The sequence below is a fragment of the Homo sapiens genome, chromosome 11 (assembly GCF_000001405.40).
Source record: "Homo sapiens chromosome 11, GRCh38.p14 Primary Assembly".
NCBI lineage: Eukaryota > Metazoa > Chordata > Mammalia > Primates > Hominidae > Homo > Homo sapiens.
In genome coordinates, this window is record NC_000011.10 from 122,095,123 (window position 1) to 122,116,314 (window position 21,192).

The 21,192-nt window shown below is 39.9% G+C and overlaps 1 protein-coding gene, 1 long non-coding RNA gene and 1 other non-coding gene across 25 annotated transcripts in view, besides 1 other annotated feature; all 3 read right to left on the bottom strand.

Annotated features, from left to right (window-relative positions):
• The window catches only part of MIR100HG (mir-100-let-7a-2-mir-125b-1 cluster host gene), a 394,543-nt gene that overhangs the window by 66,794 nt on the left and 306,557 nt on the right, over positions 1-21,192 (bottom strand). For 3 of the 23 annotated variants that reach the window (NR_137178.1, NR_137177.1, NR_137176.1), the window contains exon 1: positions 5,252-5,724. The exons of 14 other annotated variants lie outside the window; for them this stretch is intronic. This is a non-coding gene — a long non-coding RNA (mir-100-let-7a-2-mir-125b-1 cluster host gene). Of the gene's footprint in view, positions 1-5,251; positions 5,725-6,324; positions 7,108-9,948; positions 10,495-21,192 lie in introns of those variants that run through there. 6 more of the 23 variants (NR_137191.1, NR_137190.1, NR_137195.1 and 3 more) reach the window with 3 other exon arrangements.
• Positions 4,635-4,722, bottom strand: MIR125B1 (microRNA 125b-1). The gene has a single exon (NR_029671.1). It is a non-coding gene; the product is annotated as a microRNA 125b-1 (primary transcript).
• Positions 10,455-10,955: an enhancer, noted in NCBI's record as "H3K4me1 hESC enhancer chr11:121976285-121976785 (GRCh37/hg19 assembly coordinates)". NCBI's record gives its function as "activates a minimal SCP1, AML or CMV promoter by ChIP-STARR-seq in primed H9 embryonic stem cells {active_cell/tissue: H9 hESC(primed)}" and the evidence as "EXISTENCE:reporter gene assay evidence [ECO:0000049][PMID:30033119]".
• Positions 20,218-21,093, bottom strand: BLID (BH3-like motif containing, cell death inducer). Its single transcript, NM_001001786.3, has one exon. The coding sequence runs from the start codon at positions 20,798-20,800 to the stop codon at positions 20,474-20,476; it is 327 nt and encodes a 108-aa protein (NP_001001786.2). The 5' UTR covers positions 20,801-21,093; the 3' UTR covers positions 20,218-20,473.

Genomic DNA, 21,192 nt, shown 5'->3' on the forward strand with positions numbered 1-21,192 from the left:
AAATGTGAACGAGGCTACATCTATATTTTGAGGCAGCGATATAAGAAGCTAAGGGTTGATAATTTCTTAGATCACTCGATAATAGAGAAATGTTCAACAGAATGGCAGGTTATATCTTTGACTGAAAACAGAAAGCCCTACATTAAATTCAGCACTTCTAAAACATAGGATTAATTTGTCCTAAAGAGGACACCAGATCAAAGCTCTGCTTTGAGAAACAGGCTTTTGTCCTCATCTTTCTATATGAGTTAATCAATCATCAAATAACCAAAATAAATTTGTGATCTTGGAGAACGAAGCATATTATTCAAGGTGATTGGATCCATTTTCTTGATTCCTCCTTCAAGATCTTTCGGCTAATTAGTCAGGGTTACTATAGAATTATTTAATTATCTGCACTTTTGTGCAATAAAATATGTTGTCATATCACATACTTTATCATGCTGTTGCAGTTCACACTTAATGATGCCTCTATAGTTAGCTGTTTCCTTTGTTCTGCTCAGTAAGTGGTTTTAGAAAGAGGGTGGGCCGGGAAGGTGGAGCCCTGGGGTTTGTAAAATAAAATCATATATTCCTGGTCTACATGCCAAACTTTATGCATTTAAATGAATTTCTTCTTAGAAATTAAGTGGCAATTCCATTCGTAATAAGCTAAGAGGCACAGGTCGGTGACTTGGAATGCAACCGCAACAGTGTTACTATACCTTGAACATCTCTCTAGTGCATTTCCACTGCAGTGCAATGGTAAAACGACGATTTAATTTTTTTTTTTTTTTTCTAATCAGCAAGGAATGTCTTTAACAAGGAAGAAGTAAATTATGATAATTACTCTGAATGGTCGGATCCTTGAGCATTACTAATTAGCATTTATTGCCTGGATTATAGAACAATACATGTGAAACCGAACTGCGATTGCTCTTTTACGTTGAAGACTTGAAAAGGCAATGGAGCAAAAAGCCAGCATCATCGGTAGTGTAGTCAGTAGTTTACATCTCCTTGATAGGACGCAGAACCCCTCACTTTGGAAACACGCAAATATGGTCCTCAGTATTTATGGCCCATTCATTTTTTTTTTGTTAGTCACATATTTACATAAGATATCATAGTCATGGTAGACTAATGAGAGGAGAAGCATTTTGGTTATGTCATTTCGGGATAATTTTATCAGTTGTGAGAGTTTAACAATAAAGAACATAAAACTTGCTGTTTCATAAAAATATGAAATTTTCCTGGAGAAATTTTGACTTAATAAAGGAACAAAGAACTCAGTTTGTAGTGAATAAAATTTTACATTCACTTCCCCACTTTCTCATAGAAGATCTACAGTTGGGGATAACCGATAAGAGGCAATTGGTTTCTGGCTTAAGAGCCTTTTTCATTAGGAATTTTCGGTAAATTAAAGTCTGAAATTAGAAAAACATTAGACATTAATCAACAGACCAACACCAGTCACGTAAATAAATGGCATTCGTATAATTTGGCAGCTGAAATTCTTAAATAATCTGGCAGGTACAAGGAGAGAAAGAGGAAAAATGAACCGTTCATCATTCTCACTGCGGTCTCACCGTTTCCCTCCACACCCCATTACAGCGAATGAAGAGAAAGAACATCGTAAAATATAAAGCCGGTACTAAATACAGTCACTAGTCTTCCAATACCTTCCATGGATTCCCCACCCTGATCCTTTCTAGTTTGAAAGAATAACTTTGACTAAATCTGTGAGGAGATAAAACAGGCTGGTGATAAAAATTAATTCTGCTGAATGAGCAAATGCATTTGGATTGCAGAGATGCAAATAAGATAATACTTTTCTTTTCCTTTGACATACCAAGAGGATTACTTTAGAATGTTAAATTTGATTTTATTAGAATATATTAGCAGTGTTTTAATTAATACCAATCAAACATTTTCTTTCCCTGAGGCTTGATGTGTTCCTCGCTTTCTAAATCATCTGTCTTTTTTTCATCAAAAAGCCCCTCTACCAAATTACCAAAGCCTTTGTTACATTCTTTATAATTTTACTGTATTCAATGGAAAATTATGAGCTCTTTACCTAAAGGTGTCTTGCCTATAGTAATATATTCCCAGGTTCTAGATTTAAAATGAATACTGTTCATTAGTACACATATTTTTTAAAGGTAGAATTAGAGACTTGAAAAGAAATATCTTCTGTATTTTTCTTTTGGGGAAAAATGTTGCAAAAGGAATTTTGGCTGGTTCATATTATTTGGCTTTTATTCTCACTAGAGCTTCCTAGAGCTGTTAAATTCCAACTGCCTTGGTTTTGAGCTGGCATTTCTTTGGAAACAGAGGCAAAAAAGGAATTTTTAAAAAGGAGGTGGGGAGAGAAACTAGTTAAAAATACGGTGAGCCAGTGTGCCCTGTGAACTGAATTGTAACTGTGTGTTCCAAGGAGGTGCTGCATTGCATTTCACTCATTATCCTCTCCTTTTCTCTCAAGCTTCCTGTCCTTCTGTGTCCGAAAGCTCCAGTTCACTTCTTTCTCTTTTCTTCCCGCAACGCACCCCCGCCCCAGTTCCCCGCCTTATTTTTTTTTTTTTAATCTGCCAAGCTGGATTTGCACTTTTAAAGATCAGTATCAATAATGCCCTGCTTGTTTCGGTTGCACTCTCCCTTTAAAAGACAGCCCCCTCTAATTGATGCGTCTGGGCTAGTCTAGACTGGTAGTGATTGAACCAACCACCAATTATGTTATTCATTTCACTGAACTTCACTGATGGGCTCGGTGAGGAAGAAGGGGTGTTGAGAAACCTGCCCTTGACTGAAGCAGTTGCCTGCTGAAATATAAAATCTTGTGTCGTTATGCACTTTTAAATGCCTGGGTGATCAGTTGTATGATAGCAACCTCGGAACATGAGCAATCCACTTGAAAACATGTAAAAACCTGAGAGTGCCTTGAAATACAAATTAAAACACTTGTATTAAATTACTACCCTGTTATCACTGAAAATCACGGAAGAATTTTACCTGGCATGTTTTTATTGATCCATGTATACATTTTCATAGAGTAAACTGCAGATATATTTTAACTTCAAAAAGCACCAACTGTTTTACAAATGTTGGATATGAATAATGTGGTAATATAGATTCGTAAGTTAAATAGATGCCTTGCTATAATTTCCAAATACCTATGCATACACATCAGCTAAGGTAGGGGAAGTCATTAAACCATTGAATATAAACTAACGATGACTCGACAATCAAATAACTATTTTTTTTGAAGCACATTCGGACTATCAAAGACTGGAAAGTAATATTCTAATATTACTACACAAGAGGTTTCAACAAAAGACGTGGTGCAATCGTTGCATAGTTCATATTCTCAGTTCAATTTTCTGATACAAAATGGTTTCTTGATTGCAATTTGGCATTAATGACTAAAATTGCAATAAACACTTAAAATAAAAAACAATAACAGGCAAAGAACAGTTTCCCTAACCTTCAATTACATGTATAAAACAAGGCTACAACCAATATAAAGTCTTTAGAAGAAGAAAGCATTTGGATTGGGGTTGATTTAGGTGTTTTTCAAACATAGAAGAGAAATGTTGGCCCAATAATACGAAAATTGTTTAAATGATATTTTATACTAGAATTTTTCACAACAAAGGAAAGGTAAGTTACTGTTTCTCTTCCCCAACTACGAGACAGCCCTAAATCACTGAAATGATTCAGTTATAAAAAGTTACAGCTCAAGAAAACTACAAACTAGGTAATGCTAGCCATTACCTTAAGAAAGGATAATTTTAAATGTACAGTTTGGGTGTTATAAAACCTTTTTTGGATTGAATTTAAGTACTGATAAAATTTTCCTTAGTTTTAAAATGAAAACCAGTATTTGTTACTCCCAAAGAATACGATAATTGTGTTTGCTGTTGCTGTTGCTTTCATTTTACATATTTAGAAGATTTATTTCCAATCTTTATCACCTTTATATCCATAAAGTATAACATTTTGTAAAAGATACCAAGCAAGGAGGTGGTATCCCTCCTTTTATTTTTAAAAAATCTTGCAAAGTCATACAAACTTAATTTTTATTAATACCATAACTTCCATCCTTTGTGTGGAATTGCAAGAATAGAATTTTAACCTATTAATATTTTACTCCAAACTATTAGTTTGCCTTTATCTGCGTCTGTATGTTCACTGTCTAGCCATCCATGATACACATGTGTGGACACTGAATATATAATATATTCACATGCCCATTTTAATTGGGCACAATTTTAAGATTAACTGTGGAGTTTGAAAGTTGGAGACATGGGGCATGCTGGGACTTCAGCTGAGATGTTCTGAGGTCAAGCACCAGGTACTGAGCTGTTCTTGTTACGCTCGTATACTACTGCGTGTTGCTCTCAAGGAATAGACCAGGCAGATGAGTTCCACAAGCCTCAGGCATCAATAACATGCATACATACACATAGCAGCCAACACGCTATTAAAGCAAAATATATACCTACTTTAACAGAAATCCAGGAGCTGCCACTCTCTGGTCACCTGATCCCATCTAACAATGAAAACCTCAGAGGTATACTCAATCACCTCAGACAAACTTTCTTTTCTTTTGTTTTTGCTTTAAAGAATAAAATTCCACCAAATTTCCAGGATGCAAAAGCACGACTCGCAGCTCCCAAGAGCCTAACCCGTGGATTTAAACGGTAAACATCACAAGTTAGGGTCTCAGGGACTGAGAGGAGCGCAACAATGTTTTCTTTCTTGAGACAAAGCAAAGCAAAACAAGAATGACAGGCAATTTCTGTTCGAGGTTCATAACTAAGATGCAACAAACAGGTGGTATGGTATTTCTTCTCTAAGCTCCTTTCCTTCACAAAATTGAGATTCCGTTTAAGCCTAATACATATATACACACATACGCAGTATCTGGGGGCGCATATACAATCACGCACATACACATACGATCACGAGTACATCAGAGAAAACTCTTTCAAGATTTGGGCAAAATAGTTCACTAAAACGGAAAATAATATGCACAGACTCAGAAATGCCCAAGTTTTTAAAACCATAGTCTACAATAAGGATTTAGTGTCTTTTCAAAGCTTTAATTTACGACTAGCACAAATGACTGAAGAGAAAATAGGAGGCATCTCTTTCCCCCAGGGCAAGTATGCCGCATGCAAAAATCATAGAAATCGGGTTTTCAAAGGAGAAGACCAAGAAGTAGGATTCGGAGGCTATAGAAGTGTAAAGACGAATAGCGTTCTGAACTCACCCATTCGAAGCGGAGCGGGGCCCGCACAGCCTCCTGTGGCACCATCCCGAGCAAGGGGGGAAAATGAGAGCTCTCAGTGCGCTAGGCTGGGCGAGGTGTTTCAATAGAGGACGGAGAACGGGGGCGGGGAGGGGAGGCGGGGGCAGGAAGCGATACACCAAATCTCGAGACTGTAACTCTGTAGCTTATGCTTTGACGAGAGAAAAAAGGGCAGTTGGGTGGGAGTGGAGGGAGGGGCTGGAACTGATCAAATTTGGAAAATATTCACTTAAAAATTAAAAAAAGGCGGGGGGGGGGGGGGAGTATGAAACCTCCCCAGAGCTGCTTTTTGAAAAATTTCTTCCTTCTTTCTTTAGCGTGCACTTTGCCAGTCCTGCAAACGGAGGCTTCGTCTGCATCAGCTGCTTGGCTGAAGTCAAGGCCAAATCACCAAGAGCGAGCACCAGGCTGTCATTTGGTAGACACGAAGTGGGAAGGGCTGGGTGCGGGCTGGGGAGAGACATTCCCCCCGCACCTCCCGCTGCGGATTCTTTGAAGCCTTTGGCCAATATTTCAGAGGAATCCGAAGCATAATTCCCCTCCATCTTCGCAGACAGCCCCTGGTTCTGTACCTGATAGATTGTCGCTTTCCTCATCAGACTGGAAGTGGGGCTTTCCTGTGCCGCCACCAAAAATGAAAGGAAAAGGAGGGGAGGCAGATGGGAAGATGACCCTTTTACAAATGTTTCTTCTCCTTTTTCTTTCTGTTTTTCATTTCATTTCTTTCTTCTTCTTGTTCTTCTTTTATTCCAGGCCTGAGCAAGGTAGATGGCTGGCTAGTCAAAGAGAATGACAAAGCAGCCACAGCCAGGAGGACACTGGAGAGGCCTCAACGCACTTAGTAAAAATGCTAAATATTTTTTTAGATATTTCCATATGCAACTAAAAACAGTTAGAGCTCTAGACTCTCCCCCTCCCCTCCTTTAAAAATGGAATCATACTAGCAACACAGCTAAATTATGTCTCTTCTCCCTCTGTACAGTGTCTGTTTAGCAGCCCCCCCACCCCCACCTTCAAGACAACTTTTTTCTCACCTCTGTGGGTTCTTCTCAGGCACAATCCTCCGTTGAGCTCAGAGGCTCTCCTTTTTCTCTCCCTTCCCTTTTCCTTTTCCTCTCAGAAAAGCTAGTCTGTCATCATCACACCTAGCTTCTCTCTCGCTCGCTCAACCTCTCTCCTTTTCTCTTTTACCATTAAAATATAATAATAATAATGGCCCTTTCGACATAGCAGCATGAAGTGGCTGCCTTTGAGAAGCACATTTAATCTTTACTGGCTCCCCTAGGCTTCAGTGAAGAAGGAGAAGGCAAGGAAAAAAAAAGGAGAGAGAGAAAAAAAGATTGTAAGGGAGGCTGCTGACGGACAGCAGGCATCAGGCACAAATCAGCGACAAGTTGAATTTTCCTAGACCACACTGCCCCCTTTCTTCTCGGCTTGCTCCCTGGGCTCCTGGAAAGCCTGAGTGTCTGGTTACAGGAGGCAACGGGTCTCTTTTTGCCAACCATGGTGCAGATTCCTCGCATGCCTGCTTAAATCTCTGGCAGAATAAGAAATCAATATCCCCCTCTAATCACCTTTAGCTCTTCGATGGCTTCCCCCCTTTTCTGAGAATCCACTTGGCTCTCCTCGCCGCTCCCCCGCCCTGCCGGGCTCCTACATACAAAGCTTGCAGCCCTGTCATTTCTCACTTCCTTCCATATCTTGGAGACAAGCCTCTCTTCTAATATCCTCTCGCGCTTGCTCCCTCTCCTGTTGTAGTGTGTCTCATCCCTGACTTGCAGTGCTGGATGCACTAAGGCATCTCCCTGACTACTAATGAGGCCAAAAATACATCAGCAGGTCAGGGGGAAGGCCAGACACTGCATTATACAAATACAAAAAATTTCTCAGCCCGCAAGACCTAGAGATCAGGTATCACATTTTCGAAAAGGAAAAACAGGGAGGGAAAGAAGTGAGGAAGGGAGACCACAGTGCAGTTCTCTGCCTAACTGTTTCACATCCTAGGGGAATTTCAAGCACACATGCATGTATGAGTGCAGGTGATGGATTTTGTGAATCTTGGTGGCCTTTCTTTATGGACGGAAAGTCAACAATGCCCAAATATTTCTTTGCAATCAGCATTTAGCGGGATAAAAGAGCAATGATTCGGATCTACATTTAAGATATGTAGACTCTCTGTTCAGGCATGTGATGACTACAGAGCTAAAATTCCCTTTCCTTCCAGTGGCTGGGGTTTGCTCGTTGACTGTATTTGCCATATGTATTAATTTACCATCTATGTGCCCTTGGATTTTGAAATGAACTCATCAGTCACTGAAGCTCATCCTGACCCTTTGCTTTCACTGCAGGCATTTTCCTTATTCCTGAAGCATGTTTTTCCTCTTCAAATGTCTGACAGACACATATACACTTCATCGATCAGCCTCAAGTTCCCCAATAATGACAAGTAATATTTCAGATGACAAAAAAAAAGAGGCACAAGAAAAAAGGAAGACATCCTAAGTTGATTGGGGGAGCATCTCCTCTCATTTCTGTTGGCACTCATTTTTAAAGCTCTGCTCTGCTGTGATCCTTTAAGGCATGGATCTGCCGAAAATTAGGGTCTCTACCTATCTATGTACACAGTGGGTATGTTACCGTTCTAACCCAATTTTCCTGCCTAGAATCATGCAGACAACCGGCAGCGTGGTATTAAATATAATGTCAGATTCTGTAAATAGCAAGGAAAGGGAGAAAGGTATCTGAGGATGCAGGTTTCCTCCAAGTCAATATTTTTAAAAGATAGTTTCTTTGTGCTCAACTCAGACATAATTGTGCTTTGTCTCTGACTGTGAGACCTGCAGAAGCATACCTAGATGCCAAGGAAAAGGAGAAAATGCACAAATAAGAAGAAGATACAGACAGAGGAAGAAGGGAGAGGAGAGAAGTAGAGAGGAAAGGCGAGGAGCGCATAACAGCTAAAGGCAAAATGAGAGTGTTGGATTTTTGTAATACTTTTTTTTTCTTTTTGTCGTTATTGGGAAGGAGAAAGAGGTGGTTGCCAGGAGTTGGTGACTAGGTTAGAATCTTTTTCAGATTTGGCTAACGGGGTGTTTTCACTAGACTGATGGAGAAAAAAGAAACACGCTAGAATAATCATGAAGGGTGGAGCTGTTAAAAAAAAAAGTCTTTGACTCACTGGGTGCCTCCCTGTACACCAAAATGAATCATTCCTAACCAGAATCATCAATTGTCTTAGTGTACTTCTATATGAAGGCCAGATTATGGGAATCATGTCATTGCACCCATCTTCAAAACGAAGGGTAAATAGAGGACGAGATTTCCCGAGACTCTTTTAAACCTCTCTATATTTGCAACAATAGTTCAGCATGATTTTCACATAATAAGCTAATTTGCTCTTGCTTGTATTCACTCTGCTTACAAAGATATACAAATATATAGCTTATGAAAGTTTTGCTATGAACACATCATTTTCTCTATACAACTCAGCGATGTCTTTGGAGGATACTTATTTCAAGCAGTTAACACCTGACCCCAATTTCTGTGGGTAATTAGTGAGCTAGATAACCACACAAAGTGGGTAATTATTTAGTACCCAAGGGTACGCTAGAAGTGGGTAGTGGCTTTGTTAACAAAAGCACATCTCTAATTGTTGTATCTATGATGGGTGTTTTAAAAATACCAGTTACTATATCAAGTGAACCATGATAAATAAGTGAACTAGTTTGCTGTCCTTAGCATATACATATGTATCTTCTATCGTGGGTAATAATATTTACCTCTCTTGTATGGAGTGTTGTGAAGATTAATTAGTTAACATCTGTAAGACTCTCAGAAGATGAAATATTGCTAGAGGCCTTCTAAATACTGTATTATTATTGTTATTATTACCTTGGCTAAAAATCCCAGAATGGGAGAAATGGAGAAGGTAAATGTTATTGTCTGGTCTATGTCTAAGTTTGCAAATATGCTGAGATCACAAACATAATGAGTTTGATTATGGGGAGTAGTTTCCTACCTGACAGAGTCTAACCCACACTGTAATAGAAAAGAAAGGCAGAAGGTATTTCATTGACAGCTGGCTCTGGTTGGATCTGAGGAACTGAACTGGGATAGAAGTGGAGAGGAAAGGGAGGAGCAGGAAGAAGGAGTCACTGATGGGCTGGGAGGAAGCCGAAATCTGCTGGACCACACCCTCCTTCCAAAGTCTTTCTATCCTTCTCTCTCACAAGCAGCAAATAAGCACAAAAACCCCCAAAGAAGATATCTATGCAAGTCCTGGGACAAATTCAGCATAATGACAATCTATCTGCCAGTTACATAGCATTGATTCTGGAGGAGAACCATCAGCACAAATTATTATAACAAATGCACGTACATTTGAAAATATTACAATGTTGAGAATAGGCACACACAGATCAACCTCAGATAACTTTAACCCAGGTTATGAGCAGCGATGAAGAAGCAACTTTTTAATTGCTTTTATGACTCACTCTCGGGGGAGAAGGGGGTATTATTAATTTTTGCCAAGAAAGAAAGAAAATAAAAAAGAAAGGAAAGAAGAAAAAAAAGGAAAAGAAAATCCCATGCTTTCAGGGACCTAATTCTGGAGAACAACCAAGCCTTGAAAACAAACAACAACAACAACAAAAACTTACTGCTGCTTTCTCTGTAAATTGCCCATCTCCTTGAGCTGGCTGTCTGGCTCTGGCTGAGGCAGGACAGACAGAGGCCTCTTGGAATCCAAATCTTCAAGTAGGCTCACCACATTTTTTCTTTCAAAGCAAGGTTGTCCTGGGGATTAACCCTAGGAGTCTGGGAGATGCAAGCATGTGGGGAGGGTGAAGAAAAAGACGCAAAGATGTTGTATTCAGTCCAGTTGACGGCTTCCAGGGAATGGAAAAAGGAAAGGACCCCATGAGCCAGCCAACAGGTACCACTGCCGAAATCTCTGCTGGAGGATGGCCTTTGGAACACGTGCTTATGCTGTGATTGGAGGCCAGTGGTGTGATGAGCACCTTTTAAGAGTTTGGGAGCAGAGGGAAAATTTCTCCAAAAGCCACCCAAGCCAGGCTTCTGACCTGAAGCCCAGTATGTGTCACCCCCTCTCTGAGCTCAGAACTACAAAGGCTGACTGGCATTCTCCAACCCGCCCAGCTCCTTTCAAACCCACAGACTGTGCCAGACTGGCCCCACCTCCCACTGCAGCAAATGCTGTAGCCCCGCTCCATGCTGTGTTGTAAGGAGCCAGACTTCCGTTTTAATTGTCCTACCTGGCCGTCCCCTCTGCCACTACCCCTGGCTCTTGGTTCCTGGCATGGTTTCAAAGGCCCAATCAATGGCTTTCCCTCCCCCATCGGAATCTTAAACACTGCTAGTTCTCCCTTTTCCAAATTTTATCTCTTTCAAACTTAAATGTTTTTATGTCTTGTACTTTGTTTCATGTCTAGCCACCACCACCTCGTTTCTTTGGCCACTCTCATTCTCTTGTTTGACACTTTTTTTTGCCATGTCTTGTCTCATATTAGGACTGAAAACCCAAACCAAAAGTCAGCTGCTAGCATCTTTCCCTTATCCTCCCCTGCATTATATTTAATGTATCTGACAATCCAATGGATCTCAAGGCATGTCCTAAAATCTCACCTAAAAAGAGTTGAAGCCAGCAGAGAGCAGGTGTGTATGTGTGTGTTAAATAACCTAACTATGTGAATGTAGCAGGAAAGGGCCTGATGCATGTGGGTGGAAGGAAGAACAGAAGAAAGGAATCTGGTATACTTAAAAACATTTAGGATAAAAGCAATGAAAGCTAATTGTGGCAAGAACTTACGGAGAAAATACCATACACAAACACACATACACACACACGCATGCACACACACACATATCTGTATCAAGCATCCATGCTGAGCAGTTAAGTCACAATACCCTAAGATTATCTGATTATCTGAAAAAGTATTTACCATACTGTGAATGGGACAGGCAGGGCCACATGGTTCTGCAGCTGAAAGCTAAATACAAAAGCCTTCTGGAATGGATTGGAAGAGGATGGCAAACTCCTTTAAATCATCTGCCTCCCTCCACCCTTGTCTGGGCTTAGGGGTTAAGAACTGCTATAGCACCTCTCTTTTATTTCCATCATGATTTTAAGCTTATTATTGCTATTCATTCTTTAAAATATTTGTGCCCTTAACCTTACTACTTAGATATTCATGGCTTTCATGTTGCAAGTCCGCTGTCTGTGACACTTCTAATACATATCATTGAAGGTCTTCTCTGTGTCAGACACAGGTAACTAATATCTCATTTGGTCCCCAAAACAGCCTTTAAAAGGTATCATCAGTATTTTACAGATGCAGAAAATAAGGTTTGAAATAGTTAGAATTGCCCAGCTCACGGGTGGCACGGCTAGGATTTGAACTCAGGTCTAATTCATGGTCTTTCCTTTGCATCAATATACTCTTTGACTCCTGTCCCAGTGTAAATGTCACTTTCTGCAGCTAGTCTCCTCAAACTAGTTTAGTTTCTTCTCCTATGTATTTTCCATAGCACCCTATACTTACACTATCTTAGCGTTCATTCATTCTTTTCATTTTGCTGATTTTATCTAGTCTGTCTAACAGTGGGAAAACAGAGAGAGAAAGAGAGACAGAGGGAAAGAGAGACCATTCCCCTCCCTAAGGTAAGATGCCTATTACCTGTGTACTAAGCGGATCTAGTACATAATTACTGACTACTTAACTCTATGTCAGACACTGTGCTGGACAGTGAAATTTCTTTAGCCGGAGGGCAGGAAGTGATGCTGTAGTACTGGCATCGTCTGTGTACTTTGCTACTCCATCTCCCAACTCTAAGGTCACAAAGACAGAGGCTGTGACAAGGTCTCTCTGTATCCACAGTACATGGCATAGCACCTGTTACACAGCAGGAGCTCAACAAATCATTTCAGAATACATTTTTATGCTAAGATGGCTTTGATTGTAACATTTTGAGAAAGCAATATTCATGCCTAAATAACCCTTAAAAAGGCTTAATAAAATGCCACATAAACGTGGCATTTAATAAATGGTGGACTGCAACCTTATTTTCTAAGACTGTACTCTGGCTGAGGTCCCACTTATAGTCATGTTTGTGTTTCTGAAAACTAGAAAATTGGTCTGTTTAATTCATCCTATACGTTCTGAAGTCATGCTGTTTCTGTTTCAAGCCAGTTAAGCTCTGTCTGAAATCTCTCCAATCGGTAGAGCAGGAGGTCATGTCAAGTGATAAACTGTCCAGGGTGGCGTGGCTGTGAAGGACTATTTTGGGCTACATGTGAGGAGGGAGAGCTCTTACACTTTAGAGTGTGTGGCTAAATCCAGATCTGAGATAAGCAACACAGCTCAGGGTGCCCTCATTTCAGAAAAAGAGGTTGAGAAGATAGAAATGGTTCATGATCATATGACCTAAATGACTCTAGGGTTTCATAATGTATATTCTGAGGAAAGATTAGGCAATTCTTTATTTTGCCTAAGGAAAGAATATTTAAGTATGTATAATGGCTACCCTTGGCAGGCCAGCTTCTATCCTATTCTTTATCTGAGCAGTTCTTGTCTCCGAATAGAGTTAAGCCGGGGAATATCATGGACTCCATTCTGTTTTCCATTAGCATTGACTGACTTTTGTTACAAATATGTTACTATCTGTACTAGGCTGGGATAATATTCATTATGTTAACCTAGAACACAGTTTCTAAAACTGTATCCTTTGGGGCATTGCTGGCATTTCTCAAGGCAAAGCTGGATGGGTACACATCATTCTACTCTAAATGTACTTAAGATAAAGACGATCTAAATTCCCTCAGCAAGAGTCTTTCACTAACTGGCAAAAATATTTCTTACTACTCATCATAGGAAGAGGAAGAGGAAGAGGAAGAGGAAGAGGAAGTGGAAGTTAGTCCTGTTGGTCAGTAAAGCCCTTTTCCTAAAGCAATGAGGCTCTAGACCAGTAGGGGGCAGTGTTTGGTACAGGCACTCTATAGCTCAAGTGGTCTCAAAGGGAATCATCTGGCAGATTTTATACCCGAAATCCACATCGTCTCCAAGTGTCAGGCTAAGTAGTGTCAGGCAAAATACTTGGATTTTTGCCTAGTTAAAAAAATGCTTTCATTAGTATCTTAGGATATTAGGGGAAAAATCAATGCTGAGCTAATCCTTCAGTATATATTTAGTGATATTTATTGATATGAATATATAAAATAATTCTGTTGCCTCCTTGTACCTCATTGGTTGAGTTTCAGAGGACTTTTCCTGGCTTCCATCCTAACTCCATAGAAGAGCTGGTGCTTATCTGATGGGCCCAGGTGGTTTGTGAAGCTCTCTGGAAGGTAATCTATGGCCAATTGATTGCATTGGGGCCCAACTCTACCAATTTGTAGGAAGTACATTTTAGCAGCCTTTGGGTTTTAGGAAGGTGAAGGAGAAAAGCTTCTGTCTAACAATGGGAAAACAGAGAGAGAAAGAGAGACAGAGGGAAAGAGAGACCATTCCCCTCCCTAAGGTGAGATGCCTATTACCTGTGCACTAAGCGGATTGAGTCTGACATTATAAAAGTCATTATTCTTGGCTAGAGGATGTCATCTAAGAGCCAAATGCTATTTCAGTCTAGGTTCCCTGCCATTCAGTCATTAGGTTTAGGCTGGCAAGCAAAGAGGGATATTTTTCGCCCCTGGAACTTTTGAAGATTGCGATTGTAAGGCCAAGAACCTAGAGATGATATTCAAGCAAGGATACAGACCAGGGATTTGTTCTGGAGTTGTTTGTATTGTTTTGAAACTGCTACAGATAGCCTGGTGGTTGGGAGGGAAAGAAAAGAGGTGGAGGAAGAGTAAAGAGACATCTTACTGATGCCTAGGAACCATGGCATTAATAGGACTGGATTTGAGACTGTTCTCATCTCAAATCAGTCTTACTGATGCCATGGTTCCTAGGGATATCTTTGCTGACCAAATTAATGCTCTTTTGAAGATAGGGCTCCTTTTGTAGTACTCCCCACCTCTGGATCTCTAAGTATTTTCCAATACATAGGCAAGAAGTAGATAGGGCAATGACTCACCACTAAGTAGAATTAGATTGTCTTAGGTTGGTGCAAAATTAATTGTGGTTTTTACCATAAAAATTTGTGGTAAATTTTTATAACTTTTGCACCAAATTTTATAACTTTATAACTTTGCACCAAACCTAGTAATTCAGATTTCAGGGTTTCCAGTCATACTCCCAATATTGCTGTTCAACTTTTTATTAATGTTCAAAAAGTCACACTTCTTTACTTTCAGACTTCAGATTTTTACATTTTTTAAGCTACTAAGATTCTAAAGGTTTAGGATAAGGAGAGGGAGAAGCAAATATTTTTATATCATGATTCCTGTTTCATAGTTGGGAACTGAGGCAATTAATGACTAAATACTTTTCCTAAGAAGGTTGTTATAGCACCAAGAATATAATCTAGGTCTTTCATTCAATCTAGCCGTTGTGAGGAAAAATGAGCTAATATGTATGAACTGCCTCAACATCATTCAAAGAGTGGGTTTGTGTAAATCTGAGGTGTTGTTAATAATAATCATACCCTGTGCATCTTGCTTACCCCATAATTAACTGATGACAGCGCAGAAAGGAAGAGCTTCAACAAGATGCGATTAGTTTACCTGAGCATTTGTAAAATAGATAAGTGTGTCAAAAGTGCTGAGTGTGCAGAAGTAAAATTAAAGGAATACAGAAACATATTTTGAGACATATTTTTGGGTCCAAGGTGCAACAGTAGTATCAGAATTCCCACTGAGATTTAAACAGAGAGCAATGAGTAGGGGGCACTCTGGAGAAGCCAAGAAATATTTTAAAGGTGGAAACTGCTACCTCAGAGACTTTAAATTCGGCGCATTCTACACTTCTCAAGGAGTCTCCCTGCCACAAATAGCAGTGACATGAATACCACAGGAACTATGTCGAAGGGAGCCAGGCTCACCTTCTGGGGTCTGCTGCTTTCCCCTTCGTGAAAATCCATCGCATGTTCCAATCCAGGTCAGCACTGAGCAAACCAACTACAGTTTGCAACCAACCTGCACTCCAAAGTCTGGGGGAGGTAGGTAAATATTTTTCACATTCTTAAGCCTTTATTTTTGGTCTTAATTTTTATTTTGAGTCAGAATCTTGTTCTGTTACCCAGGTTGGAGTGCAGCGGCATGATCATGGCTCACTGCAGCCACAAACTCCCTGGCTCACGCAATCCTCCTGCCTCAGCCTGCCAAGTAGCTGGGACTATAGGCATGCGCCACCATGCTCAGCGAATGTTTTTACTTTTTGTAGAGATAGGGTCTCACTACTTTGCCCAGGCTGGTCTTAAACCCCTGGCCTCATACTATCTTAAGGTCTTGGCCTCCTAAATTGCTGGGATTACCAGTGCGAGCCACCGCACCCAGCCAAGCCTTTAAACATTCACTGTGATATTATGACTACCTAGCCCAGTTCTGGACTGTTTGATTTACGGGCTTATGGGTCTATATGCTTAACTGTGCATGATACTTACACGTACTGAATGAGGACATGTGTTCATTTTGATGCTACTAATGCTTACCACTATGTCTGCTGCATAATAGGTGATTTACAAATGATTGTTTATTCTGCACTCTTCTGGAAATTTAATATAATCTAGGTTGTAGCATTATGGAGCACAGACCAATCAACAGATTGAACTCACAAAAGGAATCTTTAATTGATGATTTGCCTTTCCTGTCATGAATTGAATTACTCAAAATACACATCTTATAATTTATGGAAAAGTAAGAAAAGTTCCAAGGTAAGAAAGGAAAAAACATACTTTGAAAATAAAAAGAACATCTGGTTGTTGTTTAGATTCTGTTTAGAATGTGAACAGTGATTTGGGTGCTTCTAATAAATAGTTAGGAGTCTACCTGTCAATGTCTTTTAACGTTATTTTTATTCCTTTTAGAGATGAGGTCTCACTGCCCAGGTCTGAGTGCAGTGGCATGATCCCAGCTCACTGCAGCCTCGAACTCCTGGGCTCAAGTGATCCTCCTGCCTCAGTCTCCTAAGTAGCTGGGACTACAGGTGAGCACCATCATGTCTGTCTCTTAATGCGTTTTTAAAAACAAAGGAAACAGATAAAACAGATTGGAGAACCAAACTACAGGAGGAAATAACTGATGACCAGCATGTTCACTTCAATTACTCGACATATGCATATATCTCTGAGCCCCAGTGCCTTGCTTTCCACAGAGCAGTAAGAATTATTTGAAGTACCGGTAAATTAGCCTTGTTAAGGAAATTCATGAAGAACTGGTGAAGTAGCTAGTCTGGCGGTGGGCATGGAAGGGAGGGAAGAATTCGACATGTTATTTCTCTTCTGCTAAAAACAGGGAGTGTTTGGGAGGCCAAGGCGGGTGGATCACCTGAGGTCAGGAGTTCGAGACCAGCCTGGCCATCATGGCAAAACCCCGTCTCTACTAAAAAATACAAAAATTAGCTGGGTGCGATGGCAGGTGCCTATAATCCCACCTACTCGGGAGGCTGAGGCAGGAGAATCGCTTGAACCTGGAAGGCGGAGGTTACAGTGAGCCGAGATTGTGCCACTGCACTCCAGCCTGGCAGACAGAGCAAGATTCTGTCTCAAACAAAACAAAACAAAACAAAAACAACAACAACCAAAAAAAAAAAAAAAACAGGGAGCGCTTAACCTAGAAAATACCAATGCATAAAATGAACTTCTCTGCCCTGATAATAAAGGGGGCAGGGGAATAAAAGCAGAAGAATTATCACATGATCTACTCAGTATTTTTTGACTGCTTTCAGTGATCTCAGTCTCCCCTTCCTCAGCACCCCGTCAGCACTGTAAGCACACCATGCACAGGACATGTTGCACTATGATTGTAATTAAGACACGGAGAGATATATCTCCCTATATCTCTAGCCCATTATAGAATGACTGGCACACAGTAAGCTCTCAGTAAATATGGAATATAAAATGAGTGGGTCAATGTGAAGATAAAATTTAAGAGCTATAAGATGAAGTGCAAGCACAACCATGTCCAAAATAAGGAAAAGTGAGAGCTCAATTAGATCTAGATTCTGGGCTGGGTCTAATGGGACAGGAAGGGGTAAAAAAGAGTGTTCAGTATGAATCTTCCATCCTTCATGAAGATGCTAAAGTCCTGACACTGAGTTATGCACACAGAGTTGGAATCTGGCCCTGGGGAAAACCAAAGGCTGACATATCCTTGTCTGGTCTGCTTACTTCGACTTCATTTTCTATTTCTGGTTATAGTGGTCCCAAGACACACGACCCAATGGAAGGAATATAGAACTGCAAGTTAAGAGACATAGGTTCTCCACTTAGCTTTGTCACAGTGACCTTGGACAAGACATTTCACCTCTCAGATCCTTAGCTGCCTCAACTATAAAATGAGAGGATTACACTAGATGAACTTTCAAGTTCCCTCCAGGGAAATTCTAGAATTGCATAGTTCCTCTCTCTGTCTAGATTCCATTCTCTTACAAGAATATTTTCTTAACAGCTACGATTTAGATGGAATTTGGATTTAGAAAATAAATACAGCATCTTAGCTGATGTTGAAGAAAAAATAGAGTCTGAATATACACAATGGGAGAAGGGAGATGTGAAGAGTCTCAGCACAGTGAAATTCATCATAGCAGATTGGGTCATGAAAAGGGGATTCCCATTTAGCTATCTACACATCTCCCGATGCTTGATGAAACCAAGAAAATTTGACAAGGTTTTTGGGCAACAAGAAAGCATGTTGTTGTGAAGGGACAAGAATTATTCATCCCATTTCATAGAAAGGAAAACTGAAGCCCAGGAAAGATAGATAACTCATTCAAGACCACACTGTGATGGCGAAGCCAACTTCCCACCCAATTATGTTGTCTGAATTTGTCAACAAAGAAATCACCACTGCTTCCAATGAGCATGGTGCCACAGCCCAATAAAACTGGGCAGCCCCAGAGCCAGCTTCAGTCTCATGACCTCTGCTGCAATCAGACCTGCTCAAAATTTCTGTAATGTTTATTGCTAGAAAAAGTAACTGCATGAATGACCCATAGAGGCTCTTTAGAAGATTTCCTGCGGTCAAGATGCTTTCGCTGGCCTTGGGTCAAGAAATCCGGTTTCCATTCCATTGTCTGTCACTTGAGGCTCTTGCATATTAATTTCCTTCTCTAGTCATCAAAAAACTTTTGAGAGAAACTTATAAAATGTAAAACGATCCCAGATCAATATATATGAAATATTATTCGAAGAGTTTTGTCTGGCGTTACCAATTATCTGAAGAAATTATTCTTATCTACTTTTTAAATCACACAAAGACACACACGCACACACATATATAATACATATAATTTATATTTAAATGTTTATAATAGTGTATATACACACACATAGACACTGTTCTTATAAAAATTATATATATGTGTATGTGTATGTATAATGTGTATGTGTGTATATATATGTCTATATGTATATGATAGATAAGTATGTATTTATATCTCTTCCAGTCTAGCTGGGAAATCTGTTTCACAATCAACTGCTGCTCTGTTCTCGGACTTGATATATAGCCAAGCAAGCCATTCTCGATTAACACTGCTCCCTCCTGGGGAAAGTCACAGAATAACTTTATTGATTTCTCTTTACCCTTCTCCACATTTCTCTGCTGAAATGTTGTCTTAACTCTTCAATGCAAAAGCAAAAGGAAGTGAAAATGAAAATAAAGAGCTTTGCTTCTTTAGGGCAATGTTAATTATATTTTTCTTACTTCCTAAACAAAATTTTCTTCAAACAACAGCATATCCATGAAGGATCTCTATATGGTAAAGAAAAGAGAGGATGACATACTTCCCATGGTTTCTAGACAGCAGATTTCTTTACGCTGAAACCTGTGCTTCACCCACAATGCTGGACTCAGAACTACACGAACCTAAGCGTATTCTCTTATGATTTGGCCAGCCATCTTTGAGAACCGCTAAGACAATTTGGCAAACAGTCCTTCCACTGTTTTCCAACACACTAGAATATAAGGAAAGTTTGTTTCTTGTCAGTTTTTTCTACCTCAAAAGATCCCAGGCATGATTAAGTTTTTGCCTTTTCTTTCTCTTTCTCTTTTCTTTCTTCTACAGAAAATTCTTTACTTTAACAGCTTCAGGATCACTGATGCAATTTAGGAGTTTCTCCGATGCAATTGAGAAATGCAAAAGGGAGGTTCTATAGGCAGGGTCTTTTCTGCCTGGAGCTTTTAAGATCACTGAGGAAAAATAACTCAGATTCTCACTCTTTCTCTCCTCCCAGCTTCTGAGCTGCCCTGCGGGCTCAGTTCTCACTGTGGGTAGGTATGGGTCAGGGTAGTGGAAAGAAAGCAGAGAAGGGGACACTAGAATAGCTTAAAGTAAAAGCTCTGAAACACCTTTTCCATTTCCTTTTCCTTTTTTCCCCACAGATTTAGTTCTACTCACTCTAATAACAGAGTTCATAAAAGATTACTGGAATTTCTATTTCTTTCAGTTCCACAGGTTTTTTTTTTTGTAAAGGGAAAGAAAGGTTAGACTTATTTACAACACAATGACAATCTCTGATTCTTCACTTTAAGCAAATAAAGACGCCTAGTGAAATAAATGGATTGTGTTATTTAAAATTGAAAGCTTATGTGAACCACCACTCAGAAACATGCTTAAAAAATACAGAAAGAAAATGAAAACCCTGTGACTACACAAGATTATTCTGATGCCAAATGCTGAGTGTACAACTAAGTAGAGTAATTGTTAATAATATGACAAGTACCTACTTCCAATGTACAAATGAAATACACTCAAAACTGCAAAGGACAGTGGCACTGTACGCTGCCCTAAGGTTTACCATCACATAGCTTTTTGTTTTTTCATGAATTTGCAAGATTTGTTTTAATTAAATGCCATTTACTTTTAACTAGCCAGTTTATCCTTTTTAAAAATTTTATTGTTTCTCTGCACAATTTGAACCAAATTTGGAAAAGTTATGGGTAAAAGTGGGTAGAAAAGACTGTTAAGAATTGGGTCTTATTGAAATCAAGTTTCCTTCTGTGTTGTGCAGCCTGAATAATGGGCGAAATCTGTCCTAATATCTTGCTGCATCTGTCCTAACTCACTCCTTTTACAGGGCCTCAGCAGAGGAATTGCATAACAATGTAACTTGTATCCTGGTTAAATAGGAAGGTCTCTGAAGCACATGTCCAGGAACATTCCGCTTCATGGCAGAGGAGCCAAGATTGTACCTTTTAAGAGAAAGCACTGTTTCCTTAGGCAACATAGGTTCTTTGTTGGAACCCAAGAGCGCCTCCAGTGGCAGGCGTGCTTTTGCCTCTGGATAAATGGAACTGCCAGAGGCTCGCTCTATCCATCCTGTGTAGAGCACACACTCAGATTCTAGGATCTCAAAGAAATGTATTTCCTGGCCCTCTATAGGCAACAAAGTCACCATAATTTGAAGCTATTATGGAAGAAAGTCCAAAATTTAACTTCCATTCGCTTTATTCAGCAAGTTTTTATAAGGCAGATCTCATATGGACTATGCTTTGCATAAGCACGGTGTTAGATGGGAAGAAAAAAGTGGTGGGATCCTTCCTCCTCTTCCTTTCTTCCCAGCTCCTGCTATTCATGGAATTTCCCTTGATTTCAAGTGGCTACTCACCAAAATCCTCAACTGAAAACAGCTTCCAAGGGGTCATGTACTTATTCAATTCTCTTCTCTCTTTTCTCCAAACACAACATCATCTGACCAAGGTTTGCATGCATAAGCATTGCTAATTAACGATAAGTCTCCACGATGTCCTCCTCTCAGTAAGTTTGACACACAGACCTCAGCGAAGCTGT

Excerpts from the sequence above, each read along its gene's own strand:
- BLID (NM_001001786.3), bottom strand. The coding sequence starts at position 20,800 with ATGGTGACTTTGTTGCCTATAGAGGGCCAGGAAATACATTTCTTTGAG.